Genomic DNA, 17,541 nt, shown 5'->3' with positions numbered 1-17,541 from the left:
GCCTTGACTAGGGAATCCTACGCCCCACAGCCAGACCGGTGGCAACAACCTGCTAACAGAGGGAGAATATGGTCTCCAAGTGGCCACTCTGTCCTGACGACAGCCTCCTTGCTGACCATGGTTCCTGGAGGCAGAGAGGCATGAGTTTGAATCTAGACTATGCCACTACCTAGGTGTATAGAGCAGTTGCTTAATCCCTCAGAAGCTGAGTTTTGTTGTCTGCAAAACGGGTGATACGTTGCTACCTTGCAGGCTGTTAGGAAGATTCGGGGATATAATCCACATAAATTTTTGTGTCTAAGATCAGATTATCTAGAGGCGCAGCATAGGATGAGGATTTGGGTGCAAAGTCATTGGTGAAGGAAATGCTCCCTGGGGAGACTGGTAAGGGAATTGAAGCTGTAGGACAGGGAAGGGAGAACAGAAAGCAAGGGGTGCTGTCAGGCCAGTCTGACCCCATGGGGGCTTTGTAGTGTGGGTCACAGCTCAGAGTTGTCTTAGCCAGAGCCACAGGACAGGACCCTGCTGGTCAGTCATGCATTGATGGCGGCTAAGAGAGAAATATAAGTTCCCATTTTCTGAACAAAGATAGAAAAAATGGGCTCTGGTTGCCCAAAGACAATCCTCCAAAGACAGAAACTCTAAAAAGAGAGCCTAGGAGATTGGGCGGGACATCAACATCCTCCTTTTTGACTTGGCTCATAATAAAGACCTCATAACTGTCAGCCCTTATTGTGACAATTATAACGACAAGAACAATCGTTATTGTTATTAATTTCCTTGGCTGGAGTGGGCTGAAACTCTCAGACGGATGCTCCCGAGCCCAGTAAGAAGATAAGGAAATAAATCTAGCAATCTAGCTGGAAAAGCACAACTCGGCTGGGCACACCTATAATTTCAGCGCTTTGGGAGGCCGAGGCGGGAGGATCACTTGAGGCTGAGAGTTCGAGACCAGCCTGAGCAACATAGTGAGACCCTGTCTCTACAAAAATAAAAAATAAAAAAATTAGCTGGGCATGGTGGCACTTACCTTTAGTCACAACTACTACGGAGGCTGAGGCAGGAGGATGGCCTGAGCCCAGGAGTTAGTGGCTGCAGTGAACTATGATCATGCCACTGCTCTCCAGCCTGGACAAAGAGCAAGATCCTGTCTCAAAAAAAATCTATATATCTGTATATCTATCTATATCTATATCTATATCTATATCTATATCTATATCTATATCTATCTAAGCACAAGCCAGCTGGGTGCAGCTCAGGCCTGTAATCCCTGCACTTTGGAAGGCCAAGGTGGGTGGATCATTTGAGGTCAGGAGTTCGAGACAAGCCTGGCCAACATGGTGAAACTCAATCTCTACTAAAAATACAAAAATTAGCCGGGCATGGTGGTGGGTGCCTGCAATCCCAGCTACTCGGGAGGCTGACGCAGGAGAATTGCTTGAACCTGGGAGATGGAGGTTGCAGTGAGCTGAGATGGTGCCACTGCACTCCAGCCTGGGTGACAGAGTGAGAGTCGGTCTTAAAGAAAGAAAAGAAAGGGGGGCGGGGAGAGAGAGAGACAGAGAGAGACGGAGAAAGAAAGAAAGAAAGAAAGAAAGAAAGAAAGAAAGAAAGAAAGAAAGAAAGAAAGAAAGAAAGAAAGAAAGAAAGAAAGAAAGAAAGAAAGAAAGAAAGGAAAGAGAGAGAGAGAGAGAAAGAAAGAAAGAAAGAAAGAAAGAAAGAAAGAAAGAAAGAAAGAAAGAAAGAAAGAAAGAAGGAGAAAAGAAAAGAAAGAAAGAACCACAACCCCGCCAGGCATCGGGGTACCCGTGCCTATTTCCCCATGGTTAAGTTACTTCCGGAGCATCCCCACCTCCAAGCTCTGGCCCATCTCCCATCACTTCTGAAAGAGCAGAGCTGGGCCCTGCTGTGAGGAGAGGGGCGGGGGAAGCGTCCTGGCCCGGGGCCCACGTGGGCAGGGTTGAACGCACCCCCTGGGGTGTGGGGGCTGCGTGGGGGAGGCAGCTGAGTCAGTGAGCAGCGCCATGATGAGGGGCAGTCCCTGCCAGCACCAACAGGGGCTGGAAACCCAGCGATAGGAGCATCAGCATCTCCGAGGTAAAGACTGTTGGGTTGGGGATGAAACCTCCTGGGGGCGGCCACCCTCCTGCAGGCTCAGCGCTCTCTGAATTTCCTGCTTTGCTCCCCGCTGCCTGGTGGCCCTTGGGCCAGCGAAGGGCTGGGAGGCTCTGAGTGTGCGGTGCCAGGGGGTGTTTTAACAACATCCAGGCTGCCAAGAGCACATTATTCTCTTACAACAATCCAAGGAATTGCCCAGGAGATGTGATATTTTGGTAGGGAGGAGAAAAAAAAAGAAAAGAAAAGAAAAAAAGGGAAGAAGAGGAAAAGAAAAGTTCTCTGAAACTCTAAAAGCACTGTTGCGCTAGGAATGATAGTGGGTGTTTCAGCATCTGGGTTCTTCATCAGGGAGCAAGTGGGGACTCAGAATTTTCTGTTTATTTGTTTTATTTGATAAATAGTATTTCTTGGATGTCCCCGGGACATTCCAGGTGGAAGGAACAACTTGTGCAAAGGCAGAGAGCTAGAAAAGGACATGTTTGACAAGAAAAGCTGAAGATAAGGACTCCTGGTTGTGATGGAAATTCTCCTCAAACTGGCATGGGCAAAGACAAAGAATTAATTGGTTCACGTGATTGAAAGAACAAAGGACCGGCAGCCTCAGGCATGGCTGGATCTAGGGGCTCAAACAATGTCATCAGGACGCAATCTTCCTCCATCTCTTGGCTCTGCCTCTCTTGGCACTGGGTTCACTCTCAGGAAGGCTCTTGCTGTCTGGTGATTCAGTCAATTCCATCTTTACATCCTTCTAGCCTCAAACGTGGTAGAAATAGAAGGCTTCTAGGGCTGGGCATGGTGCACATGCCTGTAGTCCCACCACTTTGGAAGGCTGAGAGAGGATGATCACTTGAGCTTAGGAGTTTGAGACCAGCCGGCGCAACATGGTGAAACCCCATCTCTACAAAAAATATAAAAATAAGCTGGGCATGGTGGTGCATGCCTGTAGTCCCAGCTACTCAGGAGGCTAAGGTGGGAGGATTGCTTGAATCCAGGAGGTGGAGGTTGCTGGGAGCTATGATCACACCACTGTGCTGCAGCCTGGGTGACAGAGTGAGACCCTGTCTAAGAAAGAAAAAGAAAAAAAAAAGAAAGAAAGAGAGAAAGAAAAGAGACAGAGAGCTTCTCTTTCCCAGTAGTTCCTGCAAAAGTCCTGAGGTTGAGTCTCATTGAATAGACTTGGGTCATGGGTCCATGTCTGACTGCCCATGCCTGGTCCGTAGTTCCTTCTCTAAAGTGTGGGTCTTGGGAGACCACATGACTAGTGTGACCTGGAAGGCAAGCCATGGGGATGTGTTCCTAGTTCCATCTTCTATTCGCTACTTTTTCTTTCAGAAATCATATGTACCCTCACAATTTCATTTCTCCCTGTTGACTCTATCTCTAGCCTTGACCTCGTCAAGAGCCCCTGGGCTGTATTTCCAGTCTCCATTAGATATATCCCCATTATGTTCTTCTAAAAAAATTGTAATAGTACAAATGACTTGAGCTCTTACTATGTGCTATTTATAAGCTCCTTACATTGCTGTGCAACCGAATCCTCACATCACCACAACACTGCAAGACAGGCGTTATTACCCCCATTTTATTTTTTTATTTTTTGAGACGGAGTCTCGCTCTGTTGCCTTGGCTGGAGTGCAGTGGTGCTATCTCGGCTCACTGCAACCTCTGCCTCCTGGGTTCAAGCGATTCTCCTGCCTCAGCCTCCCGAGTAGCTGGTATTACAGGTGCATGCCACCACGCCCGGCTACTTTTTGTATTTTTAGTAGAGATGGGTGTTTACCATGTTGGCCAGGCTGGTCTCGAACTCCTGACCTCAAGTGATCCATCTGCCTCAGCCTGCCAAAGTGCTGGGATTACAGGCATGAGCCACCGTGCCCAGCCATTACCCCCATTTTACAGATGAAGGAACTGAGGCATAGAGAAGTTCACTCCTGAACCAATGACTGGAGTTGGAGGGACATGGCACTCTGACTGGCTAGACCTGAGTCATGTCCCCATCATGGAGCCCAGATGTGGGTCAGCTGCAAAGCATCCATGTAGACAGAGAGTCTCTCCCGGCAAAAAGCATGCAGGAATCATTATAATATGGGTAGGAAAAACAACAGATCCTCCCTAAACTAGATGGCAAATGATGGTAATCCAATTTGGACAAATTTGTAGGAAAAGGGAGCTGTGCTATCTCAGGGAATACAAAGAACATTTGAACTGCCAAACTCCTGGAAGGACAGGAGTGCAGGTGGTCTTCAGGAACAGCTGGAACCAGGTGCTCATGTGGTCAGAATGCTCAGACTCTCATCTGAACTGCTCTTTCCTGGTCTACTTCAGTGGTTCTAAGTGCAGGTTCCTAGAGGAAGACTTTGATTGGTCAGTTATAAGTCAGATAATCATACTGGACCAATCAGCTATGCCAGGAGGGCAGGACCTCACCAGAACATGGCTGACTGGGAGAACCACAAGGTTGAAGTGTGGGAGTAGCAATGATGGGTTCTAGAAAAAATGTGGGGTAGGATACAGGGCAGATAAAAGTGTAGGTGACCCTTGAGGGCAAGCCTGCTGTGTGTGTGAGGTGGCATACTTAGAGCTGCAGGTGGGCCAGGTGTGGTGGCTCATGCCTGTAATCCCAGCACTTAGGGAGGCTGAGGCAGGCAAATAGCTTGAGCCCAGGAGTTTGAGAACAGCCTGGGCAATATGGCGAGACCCCATCTCTATAAAAAATAAAAAATTAGCTGGGTTTGGTGGCGCACTCCCATATTTCCATCTACGTGAGAGGCTGAGGTGGTAGGATGGCTTGAGCCCAGGAATTTGAGGCTGCAGTGAACCGTGATTGCACCACTGCACTCCAGCCTGGGTGACAGAGCGAGACCCTTTCTCAAAAAAAATCCCACAAAAACAAACAAACAAAAAAGAACAAAACAAAATGTATAGTTGGAGGTAACACAGAACCTCTCACTAACTGGCCTAACAATACAGCAGTTTATTTCATGAAACCCAGAACAGGGCAGCTCCGAGGGCTGGTGATTGGTCTGATGAGGCCATCGTTCCATCACTCTTCTCTGCGTCTACAGTGTCAGCTTCACCCTAAACTGGTGGCGGCAAGCTGGCTCTCAGTGGTGATCATCTAATCCATGAGAAAGAAAGGGAGCCCTTGGTCCAGCCACAGGATAAAAGTTCTTCCCCAGTAATAGGATCCAGAGAATGCTGACTTAAGCTTCGGTCCCTGAGCCGGCCCCTGCAGACAAGGATGGGACGGCCATGACAGGCTTCCATCAGGACCTCCCCCAGAACCAGGTTCTATTCTAGAATGACTTGCTACCCTCTGCTGTTGTGGGAGGAATAGGCACAGGGTGAGTCTATCTTGGGTGGCCCCTCATCTCACGGCCTCTCTGCCTCTGTTGGACAGGGGTCCTGTGGCTGTCTGTGGTCTCCGAGGTGCTGTACATTCTGCTGCTGGTGGTTGGCTTCAGCCTCATGTGTCTCGAGCTCTTCCACTCCAGCAATGTCATCGACGGGCTCAAGCTCAATGCCTTCGCGGCTGTCTTCACGGTGCTCTCAGGTAAGGCATGGCTGGTCCTGTGGCCTCTCAGAGCACAGGCGAGAAAGGGTGCTGCCCTTGGAGTAAGCCCTGGTTGTACCAACCGGGAGGCATTGGACAAATTGCTTCTCTTCTGTGAGCCTCAGTTTTATCGTTTGTAAAAAATGACCAATGCATATTGACTGAGCATCTAATACATGCTAAGCACCAGACCAGGTACTAAGGCTATAGTAATGAGCAAAAGCAGGCAGTCCCAGACCTCAAGGAGCATAACACATGTGGGAGGGAGAGGCAGATGAATTTGAGATGTCTTCAGGAGATCAGTACCACATGGTCTGTGATGGATTGGATCTGCAGTATCAGCAAGGGAGGCGGTTGTGCAGAATAGGCTGACTGTGCCGCCTTTCCCTGGGATGTAAAAGAGAAGCCACTTTGGGGTGGAGGGCACGTCGCTCCTCTTCCTGAGCTCATCTGGCTTTGAGAACTCCACGTGGAGATGCTGCATGGGAAGTCGAATGATCAAACACATCCGGAAGCTCAAGGGCAAGAGTGTGTTGGGCAGGGATTGTGGGAAAAGGCCACAGAGCCAGCGATTTTGAGGGTTTCAGGAAGAATGGGACAGTCAACTGCATCATAGGACTCAGGAAGATGGAGACAGATGATTCCAAGCAAACACTTAGATTTGGTGGGCAGGTGCCCAGGGTCGCTGCAGCAGATTCAGGTCATCAGGGGTTAAGCTGGGATTACGCAGGAAGGGAATAAAGGAAGCCTATAAACTAAAACATCAGGAGGCCTGGCAGACAGAGCAGTGGCTTGGCTGTTTAAGACATTTGTTCCTAAAAAGCTGAGTGTAAATTGAATTTCTATAAATTTAATCCTATTCTTCACGCATTGGAAGAACTCTCTATTTAATGAAACCAAAACGATGAGCCTCCTGGTAAGGGAAGTAATCTCTCCTAATTGAGGTATGTACATTTGACAGAGGGATCTTTCAAATAATAGAGCTGCATTCAAGAAGTTAGAGCACATGCCACAGATCAAAATGTGCCAATCTGTCATCCCCAGGATGTGGGAAATCCAATCATCACAGTAAAGAAAAGAAGAAAAATAGAACAATTGTCACAACACACAGACAATGTGGGATTTGGCCTCCATGCACCCCATCCCCATGTACCCCATCCCCATGCACCCCATCCCCAGCTGTCCAAGGACGGAGAGCTTGTTTATTCTTTTTTTTTTCCCCTCCATCTTTTATTTATTTACTCAACCTACATTCACTGAAGGCCTAACTGGGCACTGTGCTTGTTTGGGGGAGTTGAAGGAAAAAGACTCAGTCCTTGCCCTCATGAAGGCTTTCTCTCTCTCTCTTTTTTTTTTTTTTTTTTTTTGAGATTGGGTCTTGCTTTGTTGCCTAGGCTGGAGAGCAGTGGTGTAATCACGGCTCACTGCAGCCTTGACCTTCAGGGCTCAAGCGATACTCCCATCTCAGCCTCCTGAGTAGCTGGGATTATAGGCAACCCCCATCCCCCCGACCACGACCAGCTAATTAAAAAAAAAATTTTTTTTAGAGATAGGGTCTTGCTATGTTGCCAAGGCTAGCCTCCAACTCCTGGGCTCAAGTAATCCTCCTGCTTCAGCCTCTCATAGCACTGGGATTACAGGCGTGAGCCACCACGTCTGGCCAAGTTTGTGATCTTGTGGAGAAATGTATTCATCAGACAATTCTAACTTGGTGTGTTGACCTCTATGGACTGGGTGTGTTAACAGCTCTGCAGGAGGGGCACCCACATTTGCCCAGGGAGTCGGGATGAGTGGGGTGGGCATGGGGAAGGCAACATTTGAGTGAGACTTGGAAAATAAGTAAGAGTCTGCTTGGTGGACAACTTGAGGAGGGCATTCCAGGTGGAGTGGACAGCGTAAGCAAAGGCCTGATGATGCGGCATATTCTGGGAACTTCACATAGCTCAAAATGGTGGGAAGACTGGGAGTAGGGAGAGGAGGAATGTTGAGAGATGAAGCTGGAGAGTTTTGTGAGGGTCTCAGTGCTTTATAGAGTCTGGATTTTACCATATAGGCAATAGGGAGCCACTGAAGAGTGTGGAGCAAGGGGCAACACGGTCGGGTTTGCATTTGGGGATTGTATCAGTCCATTCTCATGCTGCTAGTAAAGACATACCCGAGACTGGGTAATTTATAAAGAGAGAAGTTTAATGGACTCACAGATCCACATGGCTGGGGAGGCCTCACAATCATGGTGGAAGGCAAATGAGGAGCAAAGTCATGTCTTACATGGTGGCAGGCAAGAGAGCATGTGCAGGGGAACTGCTCTTCATAAAACCATCAGCTCTCGTGAGACTCACTATCAGGAGAACAGCATGAGAAAGACCCGCCCCCATGATTCAATTACCTCCCACTGGGTCCCTCCCATGACACGTGGGAATTATGGGAACTACAGTTCAAGATGAGATTTGGGTGGGGACACAGCCAAATCACATCAGGGATGATCTCTCTGGGTTCAGGGTGGAGCACAGATGAAGTGGAGCAAGAATGGAGGTGGGGAGGCCAACCAGGAGGCTGCAGGAGTCATATTGATGCAAAGCAACAAGGCCTAAGTGGAGAATGGGTGAGGGCAGGGACAGGTCCACCGTGCAGGAGGTAAAGTCAGCTGGGCTTGGGGACTGGTTAGGAGAGGCGGGTGGGAGTGGGTGGTTAGGGGAAAATAGAGTCAAGGTGAAGGGTTTCTAGCTTGGAGTGCACAGAATTCAGGAGGTCCATGAACCCAGTTGGGGGAAATAACATCTTTATTTTTCTAACATAAAATTAGCTGTCATTTAGCTTTCCTCCAACAAATCACAGTAGTGGGGATGAGACCCATGACATAGTCACCAATAGTAATCTGTACTTTTCATGAAATCTCACCACAGCTGCAGCTATCTCAAAATGCACTCCTTCAAAAGTATGATACTTGGCCGGGTGCGGTTGCTCATGCCTGTAATCCCAGCACTTTGAGAGGCCGAGGAGGGTGGATCACGAGGTCAGGAGTTCGAGACCAGCCTGACTAACATGGTGAAACCCAGTTTCTACTAAAAATACAAAAATTAGCTGGGCATGGTGGTGCACACCTGTAATCCCAGCTACTTAGGAGGCTGAGGCAGGAGAATCACTTGAACCCAGGAGGTGGAGGTTGCAGTGAACCGAGATCGCACAGCTGCACTCCAGCTTGGGTGACAGAGCAAGACCCCATCTCAAAAAAAAAAAAAAAAAAAAAGTATGATACTTATTAAAGTTTCCACTGAATCCCGTTTCATATGTTAACAAAATGGCACATAAATTCCTATACAACAATTTGTTTGAATATATTGCTAGCTGTATTTCAATGTAATTGATTTCTTCTGTACTATGTATTTCATTTTATCTAGTGGAAAACATTATTCTGAGAAGGGGTCAGATGGTCAGAGGGACCCTGACCTGGGAGATCCCTCGGCTATCCTTTGGCTTGGAATAGGGTGAGCAGTGATCTAACCAAGATAGGGAAGAAGTGGAAGGGGCTGGAGGGGAGATGATCAGTCTGTTTCAGACAGTCTGGGCATGATGTCTCGGGGGGCAGGCATCCAGTCCCCTCTCCTTCATCAGCAGGTTCATCTCTCCTTTTCTTCCCCTGCACCAAGCATCAAAAAATCCCCTCCATTTTTCCAAGCATGTAGCTCTTCCCCCAACCTGCTCACTCCAGCCACAAAACAAAAGTTTGTCGTTGGCCACAGGCAGCCAACACCGGTTCTTGCAAGCAGTCTTCTCATGGGGCAGGAAGTGGGGGACTCTCCTCTACCTCCAAGGGGTTCTGAAAGTTTCTACCCTCAAGAAAACAAATAAACCAAGCCAGGTTTCCTCCTAGTGGGGAGACCCACTGTGAAAGCAAATACGATTGTCTCCATAATTCCAGGCAGATAAACAATCCAGGCTCAGGGAGGTTAATTGACTTGCCCAAGGTCATGCAGCTGGTCATTGCAGAGCTGGGATTAAACCCAGCTCCAGTTGGCTTCAAAGCCCTGTGCTCTTTTCACAGACTCACACTGCAGGAGTGACCAGGCGGGAGGACAAAGATTTTAAGTCTTCAGAAAACAGTAACTGAGAAGGATGTAGCAGCCAGATGATGGAATAAGACTGAGGTAGCAAGTGGTGGAGAGAAAGGATTTTGTATTCATGCCCAGGAGAAGATAAACAGGAGAGACACAATATGAGGAGATAAACTTTGAGGCTGCTGCTGAGAGCTGGGCGTCTGGCCAGGAAGACATGGGAGGCTGGTCTTTAGGGAGCCCCTTGGAAACAGGGCAAGAGGTGGTAAGGGGCTTGGAGGGGGTGGAGAGGGCTTCTGCTCTGCTCCTGTGGGAGGGAAAGTGCTGCTTTCTGTCTAGGAAGAGCTGGCAGGCAGGCTTGGGCAGAGGCCAGCAGCCAGGTCTATCTGGGGAGAGGTTGGGCTCTGACATCTGCTGGACCAGCTCAGCCCAAGGTCAGTGCCTTGGTAGAGAAAGCAGAGACTGGGGCAGCCCTTTCTCTAACCAATTACAGTCAGCCCTCTGCAGCCATGGGTTCCGCATCTGTGGATTCCACCAACCCCAGAGCGAAACCATTTGGGAAAAAAAAAAAGCAATTAAAAAATAACAATACAACAATAAATACAATAAAAATAATACATAAAATAATAATACAATAAAAATAATAAATAAAATAATACAAATTTAATAACAATACAACAACTATTTACATATCATTTACATTGTATTAGATTTTACAAGTAATCTAGAGATGATTTAAGGTATACAGGAGGATGCATGTAGGTTAGATGCAAATATTAAGCCATTTTTTAAAAGTTAAAAAATTTATTATTATTTTTAAAGACAGGGTATTTCTCTGTTGCCCAGGCTAGAGTGCAGTGGCACAATCACAGCTCACTGCAGTGTCGACCTTCTGGGTTCAAGTGATCCTCCCACCCCAGCCTCCTGACTAACTGGGACTACAGGTGTGTGACATCATGCCCAGCTAATTTTTTTAATTTTTAATTTTTTTGTGAAGATGAGGTCTTGCTATATTGGCCCAGGCTGGCCTTCAACACCTGTCCTCCAGCAATCCTCCTTCCTCGGCCTCCCAAAGTGCTGAGATTACAGGCGTGGGCCCCAAATTATATCAGGGACTTGAGCATCCTTGGATTTTAGTATCCGTGAGGAGTTCTAGAACCAATCCCCTGTGGATATCAAAGGACAACTGATTTATAATTCATTCATTCATTATCATTAATCACAATAGCCAGCATTGACTGAGATGTGATAAAGGCTCTCTCCTTTGACCCAGTTTGAATCAGGTCCCTCTGAGTCCTTCTTCTGACTAGACTCCAATCTTGGGTTCTGTCCTTGGTCCACTCAGTCCCATTTTAGCAAGAATCCTGCTGGATCCGTGTATCAAAAACCCCCCAGCCTTGATATCTGATCAAATTCCTCCTCCCTCTCCCCTGATTGTGTTATCACCCTGGCCTGCCTCCAGCAAAACCCTGTTGAGTCAATTTAGCCAGAACCCCCTTACCCCTGATGCTTCCTCATAGTGATTTTCATCTGTGAACCCCACCCTGCTCCTTGGCTGTGAATCCCCACTTGTCCTTGTGTTCAGAGTTGAGCCCAATCTCTCCCTACTACTGCAAGCCCCCAAGGCAGTGGTCCCTCTTGAATAAGTCCTCCTTACCGTTTTTACCTAAAGTGTTTGGATAAGTTTTTCTTTAACAGGTTGGGTGTGATGGCTCATGCCTGTAACCCCAGCACTTTGGGAGGCTGAAGGTGGAAGATCACTTGAGGCCAGGAGTTTGAGATCAGCCTGGGCAACATAGTGAGACCCTGTCTTTATGAAGAAAAAAAAGTAGCTGGGCATAGTGGTGTGAGTCTGTAGTCCAGTCCCAGCTTGATATGGTTTACCTCTGTGTCTCCACCCAAATCTCACCTTGAATTGTAATAATCTCCTCATGTTAAGGGCGGGACCAGATAGAGGTAACTGAGTCATGGGGGAAGTTTCCCCCACGCTATTCTTATGATAGTGAGTGAGTTCTCAAGAGTTCTGATGGTTTCATAAGGGGTTCCTACTTTGCTCAATACTCATTCTCTCTCCTGCCGCCATGTGAAGAAGGGCATGTTTGCTTCCCCTTCCACCATGATTGTAAGTTTCCTGAGGCCTCCCAAGCCACACAAAACTGTGAAACAATTAAACCCCTTTTCTTTATAAATTACCCAGTCTTGGGTATGTCTTTATTAGCAGTGTGAGAATGGACTAATACACAGCTACTCAGGAGGCCAAGACAGGAGGATCCTTGAGCCCAGGAGGTTAAGGCTGCTGTGAGTTATGATCATGCCACTGCACTCCAGCCTGGACAACAGAACATGACTCTGTCTCTCAAAAACCATTTTTTTTTTCTTTAACAGATGCTACTATGCGCTGGCCCTGGGGTAAGCCTGCCACATGTGTTAATCTCTTTACTCCTCCTGTAGCATTACATTCATTCTACAGATCAGAAAACTGACTTGCCTGCAGCCACATGGCTAGTAACGTGTTGAACCCTAGAGTCTGCCATGGTGAAGTGTTCTGAGCAGGGCTTTGCACCCAGGACTTCAGGTTGTTATCATTATTATTATTCCTAGCTGCCTTTGAATAAACTGAGGGACAGATCTTGCCCCAAGGTCCAGCACTCTCAAAATGAGGCTGGGGCAATTTGAACAGATATCAAAGGTGGGCAATTTTCAAGGCTGGGGCCCAGGGGCTGGGGTTTGGATGATTCAGTGAAGGGAGAAAAAGGGTCAAGGCTGTCTCCCCACTCAGTGTTGCTGGCAGCAGAGGGTTATATAGGAAGGTGGCCCCCCAGGGCTGAGGGACAGGGTTGGGGAGGGGCAAGGGAATGGGAAGTTGGTGACTTCTGGCTCCCTTGGTCACCTTCTCCAGCCAGCACAGGGCTTGGAGCTCACGATACTGCTAGGGACCCATGAAATGTTTAATTTTGACTTCTTTTAAAACCAGAAGAAAAAAAGAATGTAATAATAATGAAGATACAAAAATGAATCTAGACAGGGTCATATTTGTCTTTATACCATTACTGTCATAAAAGGTAAATCTTAATACTTCTTTTATGGAGGAACAGGTCTACGATGGCAAAAGTGCCCAGGGCCCATAAAAGTCATAATGTGGCCCTGAACTAGACCACGGCCTTTCTCGTGCTCTCCCAGCCAAGCAAGACTAATTCGAGACCAGGGATGGCTCCGGCTGCCCATGTCTCCACTCCCCCCAAGTCTTGTGACTTCGGTCGAGAGGTATTGGGGAAGACAGGGCTCTGCCACCCTCTTGCTCCCCAGTGGTCAGGGGCTTAGATCCAGAAAGGGTTGTGAGCGGGCTGGGCAAATTTCTGTTCCTCCCCCAGCTCCTCCAAAAATTGAGGCTGATCCACTAAGGAAAAAAGAGAAAGTCGTTCGGAAAATTCCTGCACAGTCCAGCTAACTGTGGGCTTTCAGGAAAAACAGCACTGGCACAAAGAGAAACCTGTCCATCTCCGGGAAATAATCAGCCTCGTGGAGAAATCAGCAAGCATCTATTTTGTTACCTAAAGAGAAAATGAAATGTCACAATAAAACCCAAATTACCAAAGACAAGGTAACTCTTTGAAATCTGAATTTCAGGTGCCATCTTAAGAGTGTGGACCGAGTTGAAGAGCACACTCCCCTATGGCCTGCGGGGTGGGTGCCACCAGTGTGTTTTGGACAGGAGTTTGGGGACCTGGAGGCCTGGGGGCCAAGGGGCAAAGCATACCAACTTCACTCCATTGCCTATACTCACATCCTCGGGAACTAGGTTGTGAGCAGGCACAGTGCAACTCCCCTGGGCCTGGTACCAGTGCCAGGAGCCAGGCAGCATGTGGCTTCTTAGGAAAGCAAATTTGCAGAGCCATTTGCCTTACGATCTCATCTGTGCTGCCTTTTAGGAGTGAATGTGAGCCATGCGCTCACTGAGTTTGCCTTTTTCCATCGGCTGCCAGGAAGCTCAGATCTAAGTTCTGTGTTCAATCATGACACCTTCCCCCAAGGAAGGCTTCCTTCCTGTTACACTTCTTAATTCCTTGGCATTTTCTTGGAGCTTACTCTTATTGTGGTGACTTTTGGTCTTGTGCTTCTTCCTGTAAATGGCCACAAATTATCTTAGGACAAGTTTGCTGGGACCCTAATTCCACCAGTCACCCCTGCCACCTTCACCTGTGCTGAAAGAATCCCCCACCCATAACCCCTTCTGTTCAGTTTCCCTGGCCTGGCAGACTTGGTTTCTTGCTCATAGCTTAGAGGGCAAGTATTTTTGTGTTTAAAAATGCAGAGGGTCTAAGTCAGAAAGATGAATATTTACATATTATTAAAGATCCTTTTATTTGTAAGTGACAAGAACCTGATCAAATTAGCTGGAGGGAAAAAAGGGGATCATGCTGGAAATCTGTTGGTTCAGTAATTGAAAAGTGGAGGGGGTGGGCTTCAGGCACAGCTGCATCCAGGTGATCATGTAATCAGGAATCTATATCTCTAAACTCTGCCTTCTTCTGTGTTAGTATCATTCTCAGTCAGGCCCTCTCCATGCGGAGAGGATGGCTACAAGTAGCCCAGGCTCATTTAAAATTCTAGAGGTAGAGAGAGCTCCTTTCCAATAGTGTCTGCTTGGAGTTTTGTCCAAAAAGGACTATAATTGGACCAACTAAGTCATAGACTCATTTCTAAACAAATTACCATGCCAGAGGATGAATTACTCTCATTAGCCAGGTTTGGTTGGGTCTGTTGGCACGTCCATGATGTGGGCTCAGTCATGGACCAAGCAGGATTATCATGCAACAGCAGGCAAGTGGTTGCCAAAATGAACTGCTTGATACAAGCCCAAATGTGTTGTCAAACTGTCAAATTATCAGAGTGTCCACAGTGGAACCGAACGATCCGGTGCCCCAGGAATGGCAGAGGCCTTATTTTGAGTTTCTCCAAAGCAGACCCTAAGATGAAGATTCAGGTGCAAGCAGTTTCTTTCGGAGGTGATCTTAGCAAGTACGGTGGGAGAGTGGAAAAGGATGCCAGGAAGGGAGGAAAGACATTAAAGGGAGTATTGACGAGAAGGTAACCACTGTGGGCCACTGGGGCTCAGTCCCTCATGGAGGCTGAGTAGAGCACACCCCAAAACTGTTCACTCAAGGGGTGAGAAAGCAGTGATATTTGCTCACCAACTTCCATCCACCATTAGTTTAGGGTCACTCCTGAGACATTAACTCCCCATAATCTCCAGCCTTCTCCACCGAAGAAAGCAAGTCTTTGAGGAAAGAAGTCACCAACATGTGTGGGAATTGCCTAACCAAAGCCACAGATGACGCCTGGTGTGGGCCAAGGAGATATGATTGGAGGCAAGACAATGTCTGCCACAGAAAGTCAAGTCAAGACAAGGGGGGGATTCTGACACCAGCTGGTCTGTGCTGATGCAATTCTGATGCCATCTTCCCAGAAGCAGCATCACACTCCACAGGCTTAATGCATGGTCCTCAGCAAGACTGCCCCCACTTCAGATGCCAGCTGCAAGTTCAGGGGTCCCCAGGCCACTGTCACTTCTGACCAACTGGCTACAAATACAAGGCTTCGATAATTCACTAGAATGATTCACGGAATTCAGAAGTCACTCTACTTAAGGTGACAGCTGTATTATAAAGAATACAGATCAAGACCAGACAAAGGAAGAAACACATAGGGCAAGGTTGGCAAGGGTCTCAATGCAGAGCTCCCATGCTGTCTCTTTGTGGAATCAGGACACATCACCCTCCAACACATCATGTGTTCACCATCCAGGAAGCTTGCCTGTTAGCTGGGCATGGTGGCACACACCTATATCCCAGATACTTGGTAGGCTGAGGTGGGAGGATTGTTTGAGCCTGGGAGGTTGAGGAGGCTGCAGTCAGCCATGATTGCACCACTGCACTCCAGCCTTGGTGACAAAGTCCCTGTCCAAAAAAAAAAAAAAAAAAAAAAAAAAAAAGGCTCTCCTGTGCTTCAGTGTCCAGAGTTTTTATTGGGATTTTATGACATAGGCACGATTGATGGAATCATTGGCCATGTCGATGTGTAGATGATCTCAATCTCCAGTCCCCTCTCCTCCTTGAGGTCAGGCTGGCTCAAAGCCCCAGCCCTCTAATTGCAAGGCTGATCTTTTTAGTGACCCTCCCGCAGCCCCCATTTTGAGTCATCATCTCATCTCACTAGCATCAAATCTGATGTGATTCAAGAGCCTCATGAATAACAAAGACACTTCTATTACAAACTTCAAAGGATTTAGAGTGTCCCTCCTGAAACAGGGACAAGGGCTAGTCAAATTCTTTATTATACAACAAGGGTCCTGGGTGGGGAGACAGGAGCACATATCTGCAGCTGAGCTGTCACCTGCTCCCCTCTCCCAGCTATGTTCAGTTTGGGGCAACTAGAGCCATTGACACATTAAGGGAGAGGCCTGGGAAGTCTTCCCTGTTTGGGGACTAATGCCTTAAGCATTTGCAATAGGGCTGGGCCTGCTTAGCTTGGCCCTCTATGGGGAGTCCCTGTGTGTTTTAGATGCTACAGATTTCACCCCTCTGTAGCCATCCATTTCACCCCTCCTTTCCCCAAGGTAGTGGACCAAGCTGAGTCTCTCCAAACTCAGTCTTCTAAAGCTAAGGTGGCCAGTGCTATTCTTATCCCTGAGCCCAGGTGTGCAAGCAACACTTCAGCTCTTTCATTTCTGGATAGGACCTTAATTTTAATTCTAAGCCCCCATCCCCCTGGGCTGGTAGAAGATTTATCTTCAGAATTTTGCGATGTTTTCTCCCTTCTGCCTTTGCTTGGGGCTGTGCCACCATTTTTGGCTCTTAATGCAACATCTGGCAAAGAGGGGGCGGGGTTTGATCTTTGTTGTTATCATCTTCATCATACAGGTCACAGTGCCCAGTCTGAAATCCTTGGGTCTAAAAGTGTTCCAGAATTCAGAACTTTTTAGATTTTGGAAGGTAACATAAGACATAGACTATCCATTCCATCACACCCCACCAGCAGCTGGGGCAGATCCCTATAATCAAATCCATTCATATTTCTGCTGTAAAACACATATGCAGGCTGGCAGGGGGTGATAAATCAAGATAGTAAATAGCCTCACATCCATCCAGGTCAGGCTTATGTTCCAAAGAAGTTCAGGCCAAGTCAGGTATTGTGACCAGATGAGTTGCAAAAAACATTTGGATTTTAGAACTTCTGGGAATTTGAAATCACAAACAAGAATCATAGCACCAATAGCTCACATTTATTGAGCACCTACTGTGTGCTGAGACATGACCTCTGTCCAGCGCTATTGTTACTGGAAAGGGGTCCCTTGTCCAGACCCGAAGAGAGGGTTCTTGGATCTCATGCAAGAAAGAATTCAGGGCAAGTCCATAGAGTAAAGTGAAAGCAACTTTATTAGGAAAGTAAAGGGATAAAGAATGACTACTCCATAGGCAGAGCAGTGGTATGGGCTGCTCAATTAAGGATACTTAGTATTATTTCCTGATTATATGCAAACCAAGGGGAGGATTATTCATGAGTTTTCTGGGAAAGGGGTGGGCAATTCCCAGAACTGAGGGCTCCTCCCCCTTTTAGACCATACATGGTAACTTCCTGATGTTGCCATGGCATCTGTAACCTCTCATGGTGCTGGTGGGAGTGTCTCTTAGCATGCTAATGAATTGTAATTAGCATATAATGAGCAGTAAGGACAACCAGAGGGCACTTTTGTCACCATCTTGGTTTTGGTGGGTTTTGGCTGGCTTCTTTACCGCAACCTGTTTTATCAGCAAGGTC

The 17,541-nt window shown here is 47.4% G+C and overlaps 1 protein-coding gene across 6 annotated transcripts in view; it reads left to right on the top strand.

Moving 5' to 3' along the window:
- The window catches only part of GSG1L (GSG1 like), a 276,187-nt gene that overhangs the window by 173,558 nt on the left and 85,088 nt on the right, over window positions 1–17,541 (top strand). For 4 of the 6 annotated variants that reach the window (NM_001109763.2, NM_001323900.2, XM_011545751.3 and 1 more), the window contains exon 3: window positions 5,519–5,671. The exons of 1 other annotated variant lie outside the window; for it this stretch is intronic. In NM_001109763.2, coding sequence (NP_001103233.1) covers window positions 5,519–5,671 — 153 coding nt within the window. Of the gene's footprint in view, window positions 1–1,999; window positions 2,098–5,518; window positions 5,672–17,541 lie in introns of those variants that run through there. One more of the 6 variants, NM_144675.3, reaches the window with a different exon arrangement.

The sequence above is a fragment of the Homo sapiens genome, chromosome 16 (assembly GCF_000001405.40).
Source record: "Homo sapiens chromosome 16, GRCh38.p14 Primary Assembly".
Lineage (NCBI taxonomy): Eukaryota > Metazoa > Chordata > Mammalia > Primates > Hominidae > Homo > Homo sapiens.
This window is presented reverse-complemented; position numbering and strand designations above follow the sequence as displayed.